General features: G+C 37.6%; 1 long non-coding RNA gene across 4 annotated transcripts in view, besides 2 other annotated features; it reads left to right on the forward strand.

Annotated features, from left to right (window-relative positions):
• Positions 1–22,262, forward strand: part of LOC124902439 (uncharacterized) — an 820,351-nt gene that overhangs the window by 497,120 nt on the left and 300,969 nt on the right. The window lies entirely within an intron of this gene.
• Positions 14,994–15,824: an enhancer, noted in NCBI's record as "OCT4-NANOG-H3K27ac hESC enhancer chr10:66144462-66145292 (GRCh37/hg19 assembly coordinates)". NCBI's record gives its function as "activates a minimal SCP1, AML or CMV promoter by ChIP-STARR-seq in naive and primed H9 embryonic stem cells {active_cell/tissue: H9 hESC(naive and primed)}" and the evidence as "EXISTENCE:reporter gene assay evidence [ECO:0000049][PMID:30033119]".
• Positions 15,825–16,654: an enhancer, noted in NCBI's record as "OCT4-NANOG-H3K27ac hESC enhancer chr10:66145293-66146122 (GRCh37/hg19 assembly coordinates)". NCBI's record gives its function as "activates a minimal SCP1, AML or CMV promoter by ChIP-STARR-seq in naive and primed H9 embryonic stem cells {active_cell/tissue: H9 hESC(naive and primed)}" and the evidence as "EXISTENCE:reporter gene assay evidence [ECO:0000049][PMID:30033119]".

The raw sequence follows: 22,262 nt of genomic DNA on the forward strand, positions 1-22,262 counted from the left end.
TTTTATAGTTTTATGCTCACAGCAGGAATGTATGAGGGTTCCAGTTACTTCCCCTCTTTGATGACACTTACTATCATCATTCTTTTTAATTTTAGCAATTACAGATTCAATTTGTTAAACTTTTCAATGATTTGATACATGTGAGTTTAATATTTTTATGAGGTATAAGGTCTTTGGAAGGGATATGTGTTATATGATATTAAGGATTTGTCTGCAATTAAAATTATATTACCTTTCTTCTCTACTTAAAATCCTTTAATGTTTGCCATTTGTTTTCAATCTAAGATCAAACTTCCCATGATGGATACATTTCTTTTTATTTTAGTCCCTGAGTCCTTCTACCCCATCCCTGCTGCCCAGCTTCAACCCCATGAGGCCTTCTGGACATGGCAGTGTCTATCTTGTTAATTACTAAGCCTTAGTGCTTAGCACTCTCATTAAGTATTTATTGACTGGCTGACTAACTTAGTAAGATGAGATAGGTTCACACAAGTTCACACAGTTAAAAAGTATGGGAACTTAGACATTTAATTCAAGTCTCTCTAATGCCAAAATCTAGCTAGTTAACTTTTAACAGAGTGAATGGTCATTTAAGGTTTATTTAACAGACCTTTGAACTTCAGTCATCATCAAGATTGCTAGGAAGTCCTCAGACACTTCAGAATAATAGCAAGACTCTGAACCAATACTTGTTTTATTCAGGTGGGAAGGAAGGTATTTCTGCAGTTTGTTTACAGCTTTATTATTCAGTGTGGTTAAAATATATTTTATTTCATTATCTTCTGAAGAATGTCAAAAGTAGTATTTTATTCACTTCTAAACCTTACGTAATGGGGCTGTAATTTTGTAATGTTTATAGTCTGTGAAAGAAAAAAATGTTACATTAAAATGCTTCCTCCTTGTTTTTAAAGATTGCAACCCTGTCTGAGCTTTCTTATGTGTTCCTCTTGGGCATATTTTAAACTACATGATGTATATTATATTTATAATATTATTTAGCCTTTTCAGGAAATAAAGAAATAAAGCTATTTTCAGAGGGAATTCAACAAACACAGCACATTCTACTGAGACCAATTATTCCAGCTTTGTAGAGTAATAATATAATCTAATAAGACATAGTTACCCACATTTGAAATAGCTCCAGAATTTTCTGTTGAATAGCTGTCTGCTTTTTTATTTGCTTTTCCCTATCTCTGATCACATGCAAAATTACAGAATAATCAATTGTTTGGAAGAAAAAGGAGGGATGAGAATATTGACTGGAGATAAATTATTTTTCTGTGTTTGTAATTACTTTCTCTTGCTAAGTCTAGTTTACATGTTCATGATGGAAAAACCAAGAGTCTTTATTTTGAATCTGTGTTATTTTAAATGTTGTATAGTTACCACTGGCTTTCTATATCCAATTAAAACTACAACTAAGTAAAACAAGAGCTCAGTGTTAGAAGAAACTTCAAGGTCACCTTCAAGTATACAGATTTCTGTAGAGAGGATGCTCATCAGAAATACCTGAGCAGCCTCCTGATCTACAGAATGAGAATCACCAGGTCTCAGTTATTAATACATGATTTGAAAGAAAAGCACTCCAGGTATTCTGATTTGAATCCTTAGTTACAAACCATTGATGAAGCCCAGTTTCCCATATGATGTTCAAATCATCCAAGCGGTTTCCTGAGAACAGGGAGCTCTTTACCTTTAGACACTGCCCTTTTCCTTTTTGAACAGCTATGTCTACTAGTACTTCCTTAGAGACAGCTGAAATCTGCCTCTCTTTAGATTGTACCAGTCATCTGTGATCTGACAGGGATGCCACCAAATAGAAAAATACAACTTCTTTTTAAATTTCAGTCAGTCTCCAGATTTGCATCCATGATTCCAGGTGTGAAGTGACCATCTAACAGAGCCATTATTTCCCTCATTTAAAAAATGTTATTTATCAATGCAGATTAATGTGAACAAAGGCAAATAATAGTCTCACCAGAAGTAGGTCCAGTGGTGAGAAGGGCCATATAACCCAGAAGAACCCATGGTATTAGAGGTTTCTGTGGTGAAGAAAGGTGTTGTGTGAGGTTTATGGCAAGCCCCAGTCAACAGTCTGTAGTGGAAAGTTACATTTTCAATAATAATTCCTGGCATGCTACTAGGCAGTGGTGGAGATGGACTCTAGTGCTACTAGGCACTGGTGGAGTTGGACTCTAGTGCTACTAGGCACTGGTGGAGTTGGACTCTAGTGCTACTAGGCACTGGTGGAGTTGGACTCTAGTGCTACTAGGCACTGGTGGAGTTGGACTCTAGTGCTACTAGGCACTGGTGGAGTTGGACTCTAGTGCTACTAGGCACTGGTGGAGTTGGACTCTAGTGCTACTAGGCACTGGTGGAGTTGGACTCTAGTGCTACTAGGCACTGGTGGAGTTGGACTCTAGTGCTACTAGGCACTGGTGGAGTTGGACTCTAGTGCTACTAGGCACTGGTGGAGTTGGACTCTAGTGCTACTAGGCACTGGTGGAGTTGGACTTTAGTGATACTAGCCACTGGTGGAGTTGGACTCTAGTGCTACTAGGCACAGGTGGAGTTGGACTCTAGTGATACTAGGCACTGGTAGAGTTGACTGTGGAACACCATGTGATAGAAATATCCATTATAAAATGGATTCTGTCAGACTCACTATTTCAAAAGGTTTAGTAGACCTAGGATCAATCCATAGTAAGATGGAACTGGTCCATCCAGTATTGAGCAAAAGAAGGGCTATGGGCAAAAATAAGCTGTACAAGCAGGTGGCCAGACCCTCCTTGCTCTGATGCCTTTCTTCCAGCCCACACCTGTGGCTGAATTAGCTATTACTGTGATGATTACATAGCGGTGATTTATGTATTCATTATTTTTGAAACACTTATAAGTTGTCATTCTGTTATTCTTCTGTAATGAAGAACTTTCTCTTCTCTGCCATTTATTTATCCATATACTTATTTATATTGGTGCAAACTTATGGATTTCTATTTTATTCAATGATTTCTAATTACTTACTGTCATCATTTTCATGCTCAAATTGGCCCAGATTAGGCCAGTAGGAGCAACTTCAAGATAGCTCCTATGTTTTTTTGATACACTCTCATTATTCTCTGTGTAAGAGAATAATGGTCTGGCACCACAAGATGTCTGAGGTTCATCTTCTACTGTCTTTAAATCGAACTCGGAAAAAGTCATTTCTTTAAGAAGCTCCAGTTTCTTTTAGTGGAGGATGACTATTAGAAGCCAAGATCTGACTACTTGGTGTATTCACTACCTTTTCTAAATACATATGTGTATAAGAACATGTACACTCAAAAACCATGACTTCATATTAAAGCCTCCAATTTTAGTCCAAAGTCTTCCTACCCTTTCTCTTTCCATGTTTGTAAATACATTCTTTAACAGTGAAAAACCTAGTTCTCATTATGCACCACATTTGTTTAATCAATTTATTATTTGCCCAATAAATTGCTCACTCAACTTTGGCAACTGACTCTTCTGTCTGCCATTTAATCCCTCCCACTACCCAATAGTGCCCAGGCACCTCACATCCTTGATTGCCAGTGGACACACTGAAAACATGTCTTCAGAAGCCTCCATGCCCTTCTTCTTTAGTGTTTTGTGTTCTTGAGCACCGTAACAAATACTACTGGTGACCCTTCCCTCCCTTCCCTACCTTCCAACTCCTTTATACCAGGAAGGGAAGGGAATTGTTCATTCTATCTTTTTGTTCTACTTCCTGGGAATTTTACCAAATTTGTCTTCCAAACTGTCTATTAAAATATTCAGATGTTTATATATACATACACACAGAGTCAAATACAAATATCTACATATACACAAAAATATCTTCGAATACACATTCATATTATTTGTATTTGAAGAGAAAAGCTTGAAAAATATATTTTTTCTTTCATTCCTTTGAAAGTTTTTAAATTTTAAAATGAAATTTTAAATAATTTTAGAAGAGTTCCAAAAAGAGTACACCAAGTTCCTGTATACCTTTCATCCAGTTTATTCCATTAATATTTTACATAAATGTCATACAACTATTCACAAAAAGATACTAATATTTTTCACTTTTTAAAAAAGTAGAATTTGGCCAGGCACGGTGGCTCACGCCTGTAATCCCAGCACTTTGGGAGACCAAGGCAGGTGGATCATGAGGTCAGGAGTTCAAGACCAGCCTGACCAATATCGTGAAACCCCATCTCTACTAAAATTACAAAAATTAGCCGGGCGTGGTGGCATGCACCTGTTATCCCAGCTACTTAGGAGGCTGAGGCAAGAGAGTCGCTTGAACCCGTGAGGCAGAGGTTGCAGTGAGCTGAGATCACGACATTGCACTCCAGCCTTGGTGACAGAGGAAGACTCCATCTCAAAAAAAAATAGCGTTCTATTCTTGTTCAATGTGTACAATCTCACCTATCTCAGAGGATGTTAGTTCTAATTATTTTAAAATGTTTTTCTGTTCCCTGCTTCTTCTGTATCTTGGTCCTTCCTCCCATTCTCTCTCCCTCCCTCCCTTCCTTCTTTCTTTCCCTTCCTTTTTTACCTCCCTCCCTTTCTCCACATTATAAGGTAGCTGCTACATTCCAGGTGAAGATGCACACTTTTAGTTTTTGTACATTCATGTTTTAGTCATGCTTCTTCTCTCTATTGTATGACTCTCCATCTTTTTAATGTAATTGATAACCAGTTAAGTCCAATTTCCTCCATGATGCTCTTTTTATTGTTCCAGCTTAAGAGTGATTACTTTCTCCATTCTTCTGAACTCCTTACATCAACTTCAAGTCTTGGTTATTTTATGCATCTCTTCCCTGATAGGGTAGAGGTCCCTTGACTGTAAGGTTCAATTAATCTATATGTCATCACAGAGCACCTAGATTAAAAGCAGACATATGGTATTATTATCTACCTGACTATATTTTTATCTCTCCTCACATATTTCAGACTTGGGACTTTGTAATCTGAAAGTAAGTTATTATACCTATTCCTAGGGAAATGTACTTTAGTCATATTTGTTTATTTTTAGAATTTTATTGCCTTTGTAGCACACTTGAGTCTTTGAGACCCACTAATAGACTAAAAATGTTCTATGTTTAGCAATTTACTATTGCCTAAGCATTAATGCATTTTCTATGATCAGAAGATTTCCTTAGTCATAGTAAATGTAATTCAGTCTTTCTTTTGGGTAACTTTAACAATATATAATCTGAAAAGGACTCCTATTGGAACTTTTTTATGAGTTGTAAACTCCTAGGGATGAAGACTAATAAACTAGTGAGGTTTCTGTCAGAGGCAATACTAGTTTATCTGTATTCTTCTCTTTTATATGTTCTTTTCATTTCTTTCTGTCAAGAGTTCCTTTTCTAGAACACTGGAATTATTATTATGATATATTTTAATCCTATGCTTTTGCCTACCATTTCCATTAAGTCTCTTTAAATCTAGGTCTGTGGAGGGAAAAAAAAACATTTACTTGCTACATCTCAAGATTCTCCTGGGGTAATAACTTTGTCTGAAGTTTAGCAAGCCTATGAATTATTAGCCTTAAAAACCTACCTTATTTTATGGGGCTCTTGTTCTTTCTCTTTAGCTGACAACAGCCTTCAGTGGAACTCTTCAGGGTAATAAGTAATTACATTATTTCGGATTACTCTGCTGATTTGTTATTATTAATATCTACTGATGAGAGAACTTGAGCAGTAAGTGTTAGGAGACAGCCACAGACATGTCTACATGTCACAAAACACTGAATCATATCAATTGTAAGTAAAATCAAATAAAAACATATTTTAGTCCTTTTTCTTTCCTTGCGTACTTCTTCCGACCTCCTTTTGTCACATGTCTATCCAACACTTCACGGAAATTTGGCCACAGAGAAGTTTAGCATGTAACACTGCAACCTGATACCTGAATGTCTACAGACTTCATTTTAAATGTTGTCTCTAGAAGCTCTGACCTTCTTTACACATTCCTTTCCTCCTTTCCTCTGGTTTCTAATGGAAAAGAACAAAAGGTCCAAATTGTTTTAAAATTAATTTTATTGGATAATTTAAACAGCCCCTTCAGTAATACTGAAGTCGTCAAGGAAAAGGGCAAATTTCAATCTCCCAGATTTCTCAGGTTTCTACCCCGCTTCCTGGACATTCTCTAATAAAGTATGTGTATTTGTGTGTTTGTAGGAGAGGGGGCAGCATGAGGAGGTAAGAGTTTATACAAACTCATGATAAACAGGGAGAGTCGAGGTCTTCAGCCATAGTATTGTTGGCTCCTGTAGCCTCAAGGACAGTGTCTTTTGTCTGTTTGATGGCTACTTGCCTTGGTGGCTACATGCTTATCTGAGTTTATTAGTGATCTGGATTTTGTCCACTTGGACAGGACCTGATGTTCCTCCCTTGAGGAACATCTCTTCTTATTCCCCTCAGCACTATAGAACCCTGTGAGGTCCGATGTGACTTGTGTTTATTCCTATCTGGGTGATCTGCTCTACTTCCTTCACTAGGGAGGCATCTCTATGGAAACTCCCCAGTAATCGCTTTATTCCTTCAGAGCTCAGTCTATGCTGCCCAGAAACCAACAGTGACTGAGTGAACTAACTCCCAGGGCTGACCAACTATACATTAATGTCACCGTGGGGTAACAGTAGCCAGTCACAAACAGAAAGAGCTCCCTCTGCCCTCCCTCTTAGGTACCTCACATACCTCCTTTCTCTCTAAGGCAGAGGCTCCAACAGGGAAAGTAGGAGAAATAATTACTCACTCTTCTTTCTTCCAATTTTCTCTTCTTTTGCTTGCTTCTGTACTCTAGTGCTAGGAAAACCGTGGGCTTTTCTTTTGCTTATGCTACATCCTATCCTTATTCAAACATGGATCACTAGAAGGGGAATATCCTGTATGCTAGAAGTGCGCTTTATGATCTGAGTCATTCATGCTTATTTGCTGTTATGATAAATGGGGATGGTTGGTGGAAGGATAAAGAAATATAGAAAATTCTTTTTGTAGACAGTAAGTTTACATGCCAAAGTCTGAATATTATCTTGCTCTTTTACATTGCATTTTATTTGCAATAGAATCCAATCTTTCCAAAAGCAAATGATTGTCTCCAATGGTCTAGAAAAGGCAAAAGACAAAAATCACATTTAAACTTTCTAAATATTACTCCTCTAATGGAAGAAATAGGTTTGGGCATTGTATTCAGGTAGCTTAATGTCTACTCCTTATTTATACAAAATAGTTGCTTGATTTACTGAATATTTCACTTTTAAATTAGCTGTTTTTGTTAGCCCTACAGAATCTCCTTGTGATTCCTCCACTGTATACCATCTCCATTCTAAGCTTTTCCACATCTCACCAGAGACTAGTGGCATGGGAATACTATAATAGTAAGAACAGCCTCTGAATGTCATTTCAGATCTAATTTAATAGGATATGGATAATTTGTATGCCATGGTACATCCCCATGCCTGGAGCTAATCTGTATTGAGAGATGAATAATACAAATATCACTTGATTCTTATAATTTATGTAGTATAATATTGTCTTTTTTAAATCTAGAATAGTGGATGCACATAATAAATATTCAATAATACTTGTTGCCATTTTTACTTGATTTCTTACTTGATAATTACTTATCATTTCAAATTAAGACATAATTAAGTGCTGATTAGTTACTAGAGTTTCTAAATATTGATGAATTTTTCATTCTGTATTCTATATTACTTCCCTGAACTTGTTGGGAAGACCTCAGTAACAATGCTTTTTAAAAAGTGTTTTGATAGACCCAGTGATAGGAATACACTTATTAATTTCAGCCTTACTTAGAGATAATTCTTCAAAATTTTAGATTTTTATCTTTTTAAATCTTTGAAATATAGTAAAGAGAGGGCATAATTATTTCATCTTTCACTCTCTACTCAAAACCTCTTATTATTTGACTTCACAATTATTAGTCATCACTTTACACAAATACCTTCCTTAAAAGTTACCCATGACAACTTTATTAAGAAATTCAATTTTCTCTGTGTAGGATAGAGAAAATTTCTCTTTTCAGTCTCTACCCTTCATGCTCCTATTTAACGTGTTACAGTGTGGACCATTCTTTTTCCTGACTCTACTGTCTGAATTACCTAATACTATATAGTTTTTTTATGACTTTCTTTTGTGTTTTCTTTTTTTTTTTCCTTTGGTAAGTTTTATTTGCTTATTCACCTCACTCCTATCCTGCCCATTAATGATGAAGACATTCTTTTTTTTTTTTTTTTTTTTTTTTTTGAGATGGAGTCTCTCTCTGTTGCCCCGGCTGTAGTGCAGTGGCATGAGCTCGGCTCACTGCAACCTCTGCCTCCCGAGTTCACACCATTCTTCTGCCTCAGCCTCCTGAGTAGCTGGGATTACAGGCACCCACCACTGCACCTGGCTAATTTTTGTATTTTTAGTAGAGATGGGGTTTCACATGTTGGCCAGGATGGCCTCGATCTCCTGACCTCGTGATACACCCGGCTCAGCCTCCCAAAGTGCTGGGATTACAGTCATGAGCCACCATGCCTGGCCGGCATTCTTTAATATTTCTTCTGCAATATAGATTTTAAATTCCTTTTTTTCATTTTTGTGGTAGCCAGTTTCCAAAGATATACTGCCACCCCAGTGAACCACACCTTCTGGTACTCACACAGGCCCACTGCTTGAATTGGAGCTGGACCTGTGATGTGTTAATAACCAATAGAATATGGCAGAGGAGGCACTGGGAAAATTCTGAGGCAAGGTCAGATAGACCTTGTAGCTTCCACCTTGAAGCCTTGCCTGTGCTACCACTTAAGATGCCCACTACCATGAAATGCCTATGACTGAGAGGCCACTTGAAGGTACTGTGGATGACGGTGCCAGATGAGCACAGCCATCCAATGTAGATGAAGCACCCTTGGGTCTTACAGATAAGTCCATCTGTCAGCTGAAAACTGTTCTATGAATGCCATGTGGAGCAGAGGTATGGCCCAGCAAAGCCTTGGCTGAATTCTTGACCTATAAAGTCATGAGATATAATAACCTAAAATGGTTCTTGTTTAAACCCAATAACTTTTAGGGTAGTTTGTTATGTAACAGTTTTGCCCACTTCTATTACTTCATTGATATCTCTCTAAGGTGAAAACTCAGAACTGGCTGTGTTGTTTTGCCTGATCACTATTGTAGTTGGACTTTAAATTCTATTCCATTGATCTATTTCTCCATTTCTGTACCAATGCCACACTATTTTAATTATAAAAGCTTTATGATATGTTTTATATCCATACTTGGTAAGGTAAACCATTTCATTCCCCTTCTCCAGCCACAGTTTTCTAGTTTCTATTGAACATTCATACACATAGTTAAAAGATGATAAGAACATCATCTCAAATAATTGGAGAAATTACTTAAAAAACTAGACAATTATTTGGGAAAATATATCTTACACCATACTAAGTGAATTACTGATGATTCAGAAATATAAAAATTGAAACTATCCAAGAAATAAAAGAAACATGAGTGCATTTCTGGGTATAAAAGAAGTTTCCTTGTCCATGATTTAAAATGAAAGACAAGGAAAAAATCAGCAAGTTGGCAAAATAATGCAAAACAAAACAAATCATGATAAATAAAGTGAAAAGACAAATGACAGATTGCAAGAAAAATATTTACAACATATCTCACAGATAAAGGGTAATCTCTCTTATTAGATACAAGTCTCTTAAAATCAATGAAAAAGAAAAAAAACCACAAAAAACAGAAAACAAGAACCTGATAGAAAAATGGACAAAAGTCATTTAACAGACATTCCCACAGACTTAGTATACAAATAGCCATTAAACACGTAAAAGATGCTCAACATTACTCACAAGTTAAAATTTAAGAATATACTGCAATACCATTTCTCATGCATAAAATTCACAAACAAATTGAAAGCTTGTGCTATTTGGTAGAGCTTTGAGGAAGAAAGACTTTTTTGCACATTGCTGGAAGAGGGCAACATTTTTCAACACCTGCTATGTACAAGAGACTTGTATATAATTAGAGGGTACCCTTTATCTGTTATATATGTTGCAAACCTATTACCTCTTATCTCCAAATCTGCCTTTGCTGCTCTGCTTACCAAACTGGAACTGGATCTAGTGAACATTTCTCCTTTGTCAACTGGCATGATATTAAGATTCACAAGCAGAGGGCACTAGAAAGAGATGGTAGGAGGGAGATTTCCTGCAAGGTTTCACTGTGCTGTCCTTTTTCTAGCTTCTGTGATGCCTGGCTGGTATGTGGGACACCCAGTGGAGCTCAGCTCCAGAGTTCCAGTAGCATCCACACAGGTAGCTTCCAGTTGAGTGTCACAGGGACCCCTGCTGGTTTCTCAGAAACTTCAACATGCCCCATTGAGAGATAATTCCTGGTGGCCTCCTGGCAAGCAATTATTTCAGCTTCCCAGCTTGTTCAACAGCAAATATTTCCTTTCTTCCACAAGAGCCCCCCACCAAGTTTCTTTTGTCATAGTCAATGGTTTACTGTTTGCCAACTTTGGCCTGAAGCACCTCAGCAAAATTCTCTGCCATCAAGTGGGACATAGCCACTGCCTCTCCAGTGGTTTAAATCTCTGCCTCTTCATGGGAGGGTGTCTCTCTCACATTTCTTCTTCCTTTGTTACTCTGTTTCAGTTGCAGGGATAGTAGTTATTCCCTATAGCTGATATTCCTCTATTCTTTAGAATTTTTCTTTATCCCTTAGGAGCCAACCACCTGTCACTCTAGTTACCAATTACCAGTTAATAACTTTATATTAAATGTTCTATGTTCAAGTTGCTGTGTGATTTTGGTCTCCTGCATAGATTGTGACTGATGAAACTACCATTTGACTTCACAATTCTGCTTCTCTCTCTCTCTCTTTTTTTTTTTTTCTGTTGAGACGGAGTCTCGCTCTGTCACCCAGGCTGGAATGCAGTGGCATGATCTTGGCTTGCTGCAGTCTCCACCTTCTAGGTTCAAGCGATTCTCCTGCCTAACCCTCCCAGATACCTGGGATTACAGGCATGAGCCACCACACCTGGCTAATTTTTGTATTTTTAGTAGAAATGGGGTTTCGCCATGTTGGCCAGGCTGGTCTCAAACTCCTGACCTCAGGTGATACACCCGCCTCGGACTCAGTGCTAGGATTACAGGCGTGAGCCACTACACCCAGCCAATTCTGTTTCTTTGAATGTATAAACAAAATATATATAAAGATTTTACAGTATCATATGGTGAACTTTAGAAACGTTGTCCATGTTCCCTTATGGAACACTGATAAGACAATACTGGAAGTTTTGAAATGGGCTTCCTGTGACTGAATTTGGGACATTATGAGCATCCAAAAATGAATTTTATTAATGGATTATAAACCATTGACACAGACAATAATCCATAAGACCATAATTTAAAATAATAAACTATATGTGGTGGAAACATTCTTTACAAAAGAATATCAGTTAAGAATTATAGAAATTGTTATAGGATTTTAAAAATCACCATTTTATTTTATTTATTTATGTATTTATTTTAATGAGACAGGGTCTCACCACGTTGCCCGGGCTGGTTTTGAACTCATGGGCTCAAGCAATCTGCCCACCTCGGCCTCCCAAAGTGCCGGGATTACAGGCATGAGCCACCAAACCTGGCCAAAAATCACCATTTAAAAATGAATAATAAGTTAAAAATTGATTCAGGCATGCATCATTAATGGTCACTTTAGCAACCCTTTGTAAAAGGTTGTTGGGGGTGGGATAGTCATGTAATCTCAAGTATCAACCCAAAGACTGTTAAATACAAACAGAGAGAATTACCTCTAAAATCAGGAAAAAAGGCAAACTTTTTGTAAACCAAGTTACCAAATTCAGCATTATTAGAAGCCAGAGAAACTATTATGTGACTTAATGTAATGCAATGGGAAGTACAACCTCACCAATGCAGTATTCTTGCCAGCAACATTTAACCTGAATCTTCTCATGAAGAAACAGTCAGACACATCTATATCATGTGGACTGTCCTTCCTGACAACTGGCATGTATTCTTTAAAAATGTCAATAGCTTGAAAGGAAAAATCTGAAAAGGTGCATGTAGTGAGGGAGAGAATGAGGAGGAGAACTCTTCTAGATTAAAGGAAACCAAAGAGACATGATAACTAAATGTATGTGGATCTTTCATTGATTTATCATTTGGCTTTTGTGGCATAACAACCAAGTATGGAGTCTCAGTGACATACAATGATAAGCACTTATTTTGCTCATGGATGTGGGGATTGGCTGGGGTGTCTCTGCTACCATACGGTTATTTCAGAGCACAATTTCTATGCTAGGAAAGCTCTTTTTTTTTTTCTTTTTTTTGAGGCAGGGTCTTGCTCTGTTGCCCAGGCTGGAGTGCAGTGACATGATCATGGGCATACTGCAGCCTTAACCTCCTAGGTACAAGGGATCCTCCCACCTCAACCTCTCAAGTAGCTGGAACTACAGGCAAGCACAATCATGCACAGATAATTTTGTTTTGTTTTGTTTTGTTTGTAGAGGTGAGGGCTCACTATGTTGCCCAGCCTAGTCTTGAACTCCTGGACTCAAGGGACTGCCTGCCTAGGGCCAACACACCCTGCAGGAAGCTCTTTTCATGGAACTATGGAAAGAAACACACAAGCCAGCACATTTGAAAGCCTTCTAACAGTTCACTGGTTGGAGAGAGTCACATGGCTGGAGCCAAATCCAAGAGAAGGGAGAGTGAATAGTTTTGGATATTTATCTAAGGTACCAAAATTGGATCCTGGATCAAAATTTAAAAAATAGTTGCATGAGCTTTATGTTTAAAGACTGCATATAAGATAGTATTTTCTGTAAGTTTTATATTTTATGGGTATGATACAGTTATTTTGGTTATTTGGGAGAATATCCTAATTCTTAGTAGATAAACATCGAAGTTGTGAGGAGTGAAATGAATGTCATTATTGCTAAAAGTTACTTTCAAATAGTTTAGCAATAACATCAAAGTATACTTGTATGTATATATACTTATATGTATGTATACTTATATATATGTAATACACTTATATGTATGTATCATCTGTGTGCTACAGACTGAAAGTGTCCTCCCAAATTTATATGTTGAAATCCTAGCCCCCAATGCTATAATATTGTAAGTGAGGCCTTTGATAGGTAATTTGGTCATGAGAGCAGAGCCCTCATGAATAAGATTAGTGCCCTGAAGAGCTCCCTCACCCCTCCCACCATGAAAGGACACAGCAAGACAATGGCCATCTATGAATCAGGAAGTGGCCCCTCACCAGACACTAATTCTGCTGAGAATTTGACCTTGGGCTTCCCATTCTCCAGAACTATGAGAAATAAATTTCTGGTGGTTATAAGTTACCCAGTCTCTAGTACTCTATTATAACATATCAAATGGACTAAGACTCTCTATCTGCCTATCCATGTATCTATGTATCTATCTATCATCTATCATCAAATGGAAATGTGGCACATATTAACAGTTGATAGATATAAGTGAAGGGTACATGTGTACACCTCTTTTACATGTTTTTGTATGGTTGAAATTTTTGAAAAAAAGAAAATGTGTTTATGTTTGTTTGTTTTTCATCTACTGTTTGTGGGTGTGGGAGAAGTGTGGCCACAGAACCAGAAGTCTTGAAGAAAGTTTGTTTTTCTGACAGTCTAGGGCAAAGCTTATTTTCCCACGTGAATAAGAGTGTCCAGTCTTCAGAGAGCATTAGATTCCCATAGAGAAACAGACCGGCCACCCATGGTTCCTTTGGAAGGTTGCACAGCATTATTGGTTCCAGGAAAGCTTAGGGGGATTGCATTAATGGCCTGAATTACACTCACTCTGGGGTAAGGAACTGTCTGTGTCTCACGTATGCCTGAGAGAATCTGAAAACCAAGAGTCCTCACAACATCTTTAATTTATGGATCTCAGTTTGACAATTTGCTGCTAGTCCACTTAATAATTTCAGCACTTGCCATTTCACCATTTTCCCAGTTACTTCATCAGCTTCATATAGAGTAAGAGAAAAAATGTATTACAAACAATTTGAGGATACTCAGTAATTTGAGGAGGGAGTACAAAGTGGAAGATCCGAAATGTTGGCTCACATTGATGGAAAACTAGTTAAATGTATATAAAATAACATGAAAAAAATAGAAAAAAAGTGCAATTTTTTTAATGGTGGTGAATGAGCTGATTTTGAAATTTCTATGATAGAAAAAAAGGCTGGGAATAGCCAAGATAATTTTTAAAAAGAATAAGAGGATTTGACCCATTAGGTATCAAATGTGTGGTAAGCAGGATACTGGAGAATAGTCTCCACTGGCAAATGACTAATGGACCTGACTAAAGAGCACTGAAATAGACTGAAATACATATAAAAATTAGATATATAAAGGAGGTTGAATTGTAGGTTAGAAAGAAAAATTCTTGCACTGCCATAAAGAAATACCCGAGACTGAGTAATTTAAATAAAAGAGATTTAATTGACTCATAGTTCTGCAGGCTGTACAGCATCTGCTTCTGGGGAGTCCTCAGGGAGTGTCCAATCATGGCAGAAGGCAAAGGGAGAGCAGATACATCACATGGCAAGAGCAGGACCAAGAGAGAGAGTGGAGAGATGCCACTTTCGAATGACCAGATCTCATGAGAACTCACTCACTATTGCGAGGACAGTACCAAGTGGACGGTGTGAAAATATTCATGAGAAATCTGCCCCATGATTCAATCACCTCCCACCAGTTCCAACCTCCAACACTGGGGATTACATTTCATGAGATTTGGGTGGGGACACACATCCAGACTGTGTCATTCTGACCTTGGTACTGCCAAAATCTTGTGTCCTTCTAACATTTCAAAATACAATCATGCCTTCCAAATAATCCCTCAGTCTTAACTCATTCCAGTGTTAACTCAAAAGCCCAAAGTCCAATGTCTGAAGTCTCATCTGAGACAAGGCAAGTTCTTTTCACCTATGAGCCTGTAAAAGCAAAAACTAGTTAATTACTTTCAAGATACAGTGGGGGTACAAGCATCAGGTAAATATTCCCATTTCAAAAGTGATAAATCAGCCAAAAGAAAGGTGTTACAGGCCCCATGCACGTCCAAAACCCAGCAGGGCAGTTACTGAATCTTAAAGCTCCAAAATAATCTCCTTTGACTCCATGTCCCACATCCAGGGCACATTGATGCAATCTTGTGGGCTTCTAAGGCCTTGGGCAGCTCCACCCCTGTGGCTTTGCATGGTTCTGTCCCCAGGGCTGGCCTCAAGGCCTGGAGTTGAATGCTTGTGGCTTTTTCATGCACAAGGTGCAAGCTGCTGGTGGTTCTACCATTCTGGGGTCTGGAGGAGGTTGGTGGCCTTCTTCTCATAGCTCCACTAGGCAGTGCTCCAGTGGGGGCTCTGTGTTGGGGTTCCAACCCCACATTCTCCCTCTGTACTGCCCTAGTAGAGGTACTCTGTGAGGGCTTTGCCCCTGCAGCAGGCATCTGCCTGGACACTCAGGCTTTTCTATACATCCTGTGAAATCTAGGTGGCGGCTCCCAAGCCTCAACTCTTGCACTTTGTGTACCTTCAGGCTTAGTACCACATAGAAGCCACTGAGGCTTACAGCTTGTATCCTCTGAAGCAGTGGCCTGAGCTGTACCTGGGCCCTTTTAAGCCACAGCTAGAGCTGAAGTTTCCAGGAAGCAGGGAGCAGTGTCTTGAGGCTGCACAGGGCCCTGGGCTTGGCTCACAAAACCATTCTGTCTTTCTAGGCCTCAGAGCCTGTGATGGGAGGGGCTGCATCTTAGATAGCTGAAATGACTTTGAGGCCCTTTTCCCATTGTCTTGGCTATCAGCACTTGTCTTCTTTTTAGTTATGCAAATTTCTCTAGCAAGTGGTTGCTCAGCAGCCCACTTGAATTCCTCTCCTAAACACAGGCTTTTCTTTCCTACCACAAGGCCAGGCTGCACATTTTCCAAGCTTTTATGCTCTATTTCCCTTTTAAATATAAGTTCCAGTATATTTCTTTGGTTCTGCATCTGAGTGTAGGCTGTTAGAAGCAGCCACACCACTTCTTGAACACTGCTGCTTAGAAATTTATTCTGCCAGATATCCCAGGTCATCACTCTCAAGCTCAAACTTGCACAGTTCTTAGGACATGGGCACAATACAGCCAAGTTCTTTGCTAAGGCATAATGCTTGTGACCTTTGCTCCAGGTCCCAATAAGTTGCTCATTTCCAACTGAGACTTCAGTAGCCTAGATTTCACTGTCCATATCACTATCATCATTTTGGTCACAACTATTTAACCAGTCTCTAAGAAGTTTCAAATTTTCCCTCATTTTCCTGTTTTCTTCTGAGCACTTTATACTCTTCCAATCTCTGCCTGTTACCCAGTTAAGAAGTTGCTTCCACATTTTCAGGTATCTTTATAGCAATGCCCCTATCCTCAGTACCAATTATCTGTACTAGTCTGTTCTTACACTGCTATAAAGAAATACCTGAGGCTGGGTAATTTATAAGAAAAGAGATTTAATTGGTCCATGATTCTTCAGGCTGTACAGGAAGCATAGTGGCATCTGCTTCTGGGGAAGCCTCAGGGAGCTTCCAAACATGGCATAAGGCAAAAAGAAAGCAGGCACATCATATAACGAAAATAGGAAAAGAGAGAGAGGAGAAAGGTGCCACACGCTTTGAAATGACCAGATTTCATGAGAACTCACTATTGCAAGGACAGCATCAAGGGGATGGTGCTAACTATTCGTAAGAAATCTGCCCCATGATCTAATCATCTCCTGTTAGATGGGACCTCCAACGTTGAGGATTACATTTCGATATGAGATTTGGGTGGTGACACACATCCAAATTATATCAAGAGACTATATAAAAATTATGCGGAGACACTTTGTTATCTACAAGTGAAGAATAAAACTTAAAGGAGTTTTCTACTGCATGCCATACAGAAAAATAAAACTTTGCTAAAGACATAAATATAAAAAGCAAAATTAAAAACTCTTAAAATGTAGGAGCAAATCTTTATGATCTTGAATAGGAAAAGAATTCTTAACATCAAATCCTGTAAATAAAACATGGTAAAATTAATAAATTCAATTACAATAAAAATTTCTTTCTTTTTGTTTTCTTGAGACAAGGTCTCGCTCTGTCACCCAGACTAGAATGCAATGGTGCAGTCATGGCTAACTGCAGTTTCTATCTTCTGGGCTCATGCCATACTCCCACCTCAGTTTCCCAAGTAGCTGGTACTACAGATGTGGACAACCATGCCTGGCTAAGTTTTTAAAAATTATTTACTCTTTGTAGGGATGGGGTACCACTATGTTGCCCAGGCTGGTCTCGAACTCCTGACTACAGTGGTCTTCCCGCCCTTGGCTCCCAAAGTGCTTGAATTACAGATGTGAGCCACTGGGCCCAGCCTGACAGTCAAAACTTCTTTGCCTCAAGTGAGACCATTAAAAACTGAAAAGATATGCCACACTCTAGGATAAGATAATTATAAGGTTTAATCTGCAAATAATTAGTGCCCACAATATTTAAAGAATCCTGCATTTTAATATGAGAAATATGAAGAGGTAATTCTTGGCTAATAAGGTAAAGATATAAACAAAAGGCAAAATAACATCACAGTGAGATATTATTTCATGTACTTCATTTTTATAAAAATTTTAAAAAGTTGGTTTCATTACTAAGTACTGTCTAAGATGTAGCTTGCTTACAACTCTTAACATGGAGGGTGTTACCAACCTGGTGTACAGGAGCTGGAGAGCCAGTCTTTAAGGGCATTCATCAAGATATCCCCATCCCATATATCAAGGACCCAAGTTTCTCTGACCAGGACTTGAAATAACAGACCTGCATTAGCACTCAACCATATTTAAAGGTTTGTAACTCTAAATATTAAATTTCCAGTTTTTTTGTCTTTAGCTGTTTCTACTCTTCCAAGATAGGGAATAAGGGGCTCTTTGTAAGTTACATTAATAGATCCTCTAGCCTGCATACTTTCAATTAGTTGTTAATGGCACAAAGTTTTCATTATCTGTCTGTAGGGCATCTATATAGTTAGTGATAATTAGCCAATTCCACAGTACTTATATGCACTGATTCTGTTACTTCTCAAATGCCAGTGGACCAGCCAGGGTGGTCTCCTACACTACAATACTTTCCCAACTCACCACTGATGAAAGTTTAAACAATTGGTTCACTATCTTGTGCCATGTGCCCCACATACCATACAGTTATTATTGCCAGTCAAACACAGAACAATCCAGTCTAAAAACCCCATTGCACTGCCTGCTTCCTCATAATATGCCTGCTACCAACTGTACTAGTTGGGTGCTTTAGGCATCAAATTGAGTTAGGATTATGAGTTTATTGGAGAGTAATATTTCTAAATGATAAAAGGGAAAGGATCAGGATTGAGCAGAGAAAGACTTCATACCGTGATGCTTATCTGACAGTCTGGGACAACCCAGAGGAAATTCCCATTAGTGGAATTGGCTTTGGCAAGGATGGTCTGGCTCTGGTAACCTTACTCCGTTCAGTCATTCCTTGTAGACTGACCAGGAAGAGTGAGACCTCAGATCAAAAGATGATGTAGGTCCTGAAGGTGCCACCAGCTACAGGCTATCAGTTAACTGTAGTCCTTACAGTTGAATGACAAGTTACTTCTTAAAGGAAGATCTCAGTGGTAAACCTCTCTTGTTGCCAAGTCCTGAAGGGAAATGAATGCTTTTATGTTCACCACAAGACAGATGTTAGGTTAACCATCTTAAACTGCAGATATTCAACTATTTCTGGCCCCCCAAACTCCAGTATTTATGGTTCATCAATCCAATACTAAAATATTTATATTTAAATTATACATAATAGCTCCAAACTAAAACTAATCCAGATATCCATCAACAGTGAATGGCTTTGCAATGCATATTATATTCATGCAATTTATGCTGCACTGCGCTGATGACTTATGCAGATAGTACGATGTACAATATAGATGAATTCTATACTGCAACGTAATGTTGAAGAAAAAAGCCAAATACAGAAGAGTACACATTGTATGGCTTCATTTATGTAAAGTTTAAAAGCACATAAAATTAACTAAACATGGAGGCTACTGTAGAGCTGGAAATTTTCTATATCTTGTTCTACATACTGGCCTATACATGCATATAAACAAGTAAAAATTTATTGCACTGAAGACTTAAGATCTGTATATGTTTATATATATATATATACACACACATATATACATATGGAAATATAAAATATGTATACAAACATATATACATATGGAAATATATAAAGGGTATTACTGCAGTGTGTTTGTAGTAAAAAATATAGAAACTATATGGTATATTCATATGATGCAATATTATATGGCAGTGAAATACAGAAACTAAAACCAACTTATAAACCTTAAATGATGACTTTAAAAACTACCTTTTGAAGTAATGTTTGTCATATTTCCATTTATGAAAAATTTCAAAATGATTCCAAATCAGATATGCTGTTTATAAATAGTAAAACATAAAATATATGGCATAGAAAATAGATATCAAAATCATGACAATTGTTTCTAGGAAAGGAGCAAAAAGATTGAAACTAGAAAAGGGAATAAGGCGTACTTTAACTATGTTAATAATATAATGCCTTTTATTGAAGAGACGGTCCTTTTCCCATTGTGTGTTCTTGGCATCTTTGTCAAAAAAAACAATTGACCATAAATGCATGGGTTCATTTCTGGGCTCTTTATTCTGTTCCAAATGGCTAATAGATGTAAGAAAAAAATGCTCACTATCACTAATCATTAGGGCAATACAAATTAAAACCACAATAAGATAGCATTCCACATCTGTTAGTGACTATTCAAAAGATAAAATGTAACAGTTGTTGGTGAGGATGTGGAGAAAAGATAACTGTTGTACACTGTTGGTGGAAATGTAAATTAGCACAGCCATTATGGAAAACTGTATGGAGGTTCCTTGAAAAAATAAAAATAGAATTACCATATAATTTAGTAATTCCACTTCTAAGTATATAGCTAAAGGAAATGAAATCAGTTATGGCAAAGAGATATCTGCACTCTCATGTTCATTGCAGCACTATTCGCAATAGCCAAATTATGGAAACAACCTAAATGTCTGTCAGTGAATGAATGGATAGAGAAAATGTGATATATATATACAATGGAATATTATTCACCCTTAAAAAAGAAGGAAATTCTATCATTTGCAATAATGTGGATTAAACTGGAGAATATTATGCTAAGTGAAATAAGCCAGACACAGAAAGGCAAATACCACATTTTCATACATATGTTAAATTTAAAACAATCAAACTCGTAGAAGCAGAGTGTAGAAAAATGATTACCAGAGGCTGGAGGCTGGGAGGAGTGAGGAGATGTTGATCAAAAGGTATAAAGTTTCAGTTAAAAAGCAGAGTAAATTTTTTGAGATTTGTTGCACAGCAAAGTGACTGCAGTTAACACTAATGTATTACATACATATATCATAGCATCACTTTGTACCCCATAAATATAGATGAATATAATTTTTTTTTTTTGAGACAGAGTCTCATTCTGTCACACAGGCTGGAGTGCAGTGGCGCAATCTCAGCTCACTGCAACCTTCACCTCTAGGTTCAAAAGATTCTCCTGCCTCAGCCTCCTGAGTAGCTGGGATTACAGGCATGTGCCATCACATTAGCACGTTAGCTTGGCTAATTTTTGCATTTTTAGTAGAGATGGGATTTTGCCATGTTGGCCAGGTTGGTCTCAAACTCCTGGCTTCAGGTAATCTGCCTGTCTCAGCCTCCCAAAGTGCTGGGATTAAAGGCATGAGCTGCTGTAATTTTTAATTTATAAAAAATGCAGCAGAATTGCTGCAGCTTCACTTCCACTTTCCAAAACTTGTGAGTATTTTCTTATGGCCAGTCTTTATCTAGAATCTAATGGGGAAGAGAATACTAGGATATGCGTGTCCAGTTTAGCTAAGGTGACAGAGGAAAAAGCCACTACGCACACATCAGTATTTGTTATGTTATCCTTTGTACTTCTGGGGATTTAAATTGTTTCAAACTAGAAAAAAGGTCTGTGGTAGTAGGCAACAACTTAATAGGAGAGAATGGGGTTTTAAATTTTTCTTTTTATTTATATTCATTTTCTGATTAAAAACACACACACATGTCTTTTGTAGACTGAAAGCTCATTAGGAATAGTATCATAATTTTAAAAGAACCTCACTATTGTATCTCTAGTATCTTATATAACTCTCAATACATATTAGTTAAATAATAATAAAAGAAAAAATTATCAAGTATCTATTACTTGCCTAGTTCCTACTTCGAAGAATCAGGTTCTGACCATTTTCAGACATTCTTCTAGTAGATACAAAATGAATATTGGTGTTAACTGTTTTGAAAGAATCCAATTAATACTGCAAATTCCAGAGCCTTTCTGTCTGTCTTGGGCTAAGCCACATATAACCAGAGATCTACTGATCTCTGACTTTCTTATATATGTCTGATTCCTCTTTAAAAAATTATCATGTGGGCCTGCCTTATAGCACTATCAAATTGTTTGGTTTCTTTTTCTCGGCTTTCATGAGCAGCGTCATGCCAAGAAGTTTTTTTTTAATGATGTTAGTGGATTATCTGAGCCTTGGCAGGCAATTGTAGACCAAGCAAAGACAGATAGAGGTACAGAAGATGTGTAGCTCGGTAAGTTCTGTGCCTCCTCTCAGAAAATTTGGTCACTTTCCATATATGAGAATGTACTCCATACTTTGTGAATAGCTGGAGTCAAGTTCTGTGATCGAGTATTAAGGAACTGAGGTGTAAAATGACTTCTCACAGCCACATTCCTTAACATATTTCACCTCTATTGATACAGAGTTTGCAATACATTTTGTTAAGTAGAGGAGCTCTGAATATATTGAGTTTTTCTACACAGAGATGAACATGTATTGATTTTTATTAGCTTGCAAGTTTTTCATCATATTATTTAGTCTAGAGGCCAGGAGATCTTATTGATTTGATTCTTTAGTCCTCACAATGGTTCTACAGTTGATTTTTTTTTAAGTTCTCAAATGGCTATTTAGTGTCCTCGCTTCTACCAAGGTGAACTGTTTTTCAAAAACTCCAAACATGGGAAACCCACTAAATGTGGTTTCTTTGTAGAAAGTTAAAAAACAAACAAAAAAAGGTGTCTG

The sequence above is a fragment of the Homo sapiens genome, chromosome 10 (genome assembly GCF_000001405.40).
Source record: "Homo sapiens chromosome 10, GRCh38.p14 Primary Assembly".
Classification (NCBI taxonomy): domain Eukaryota; kingdom Metazoa; phylum Chordata; class Mammalia; order Primates; family Hominidae; genus Homo; species Homo sapiens.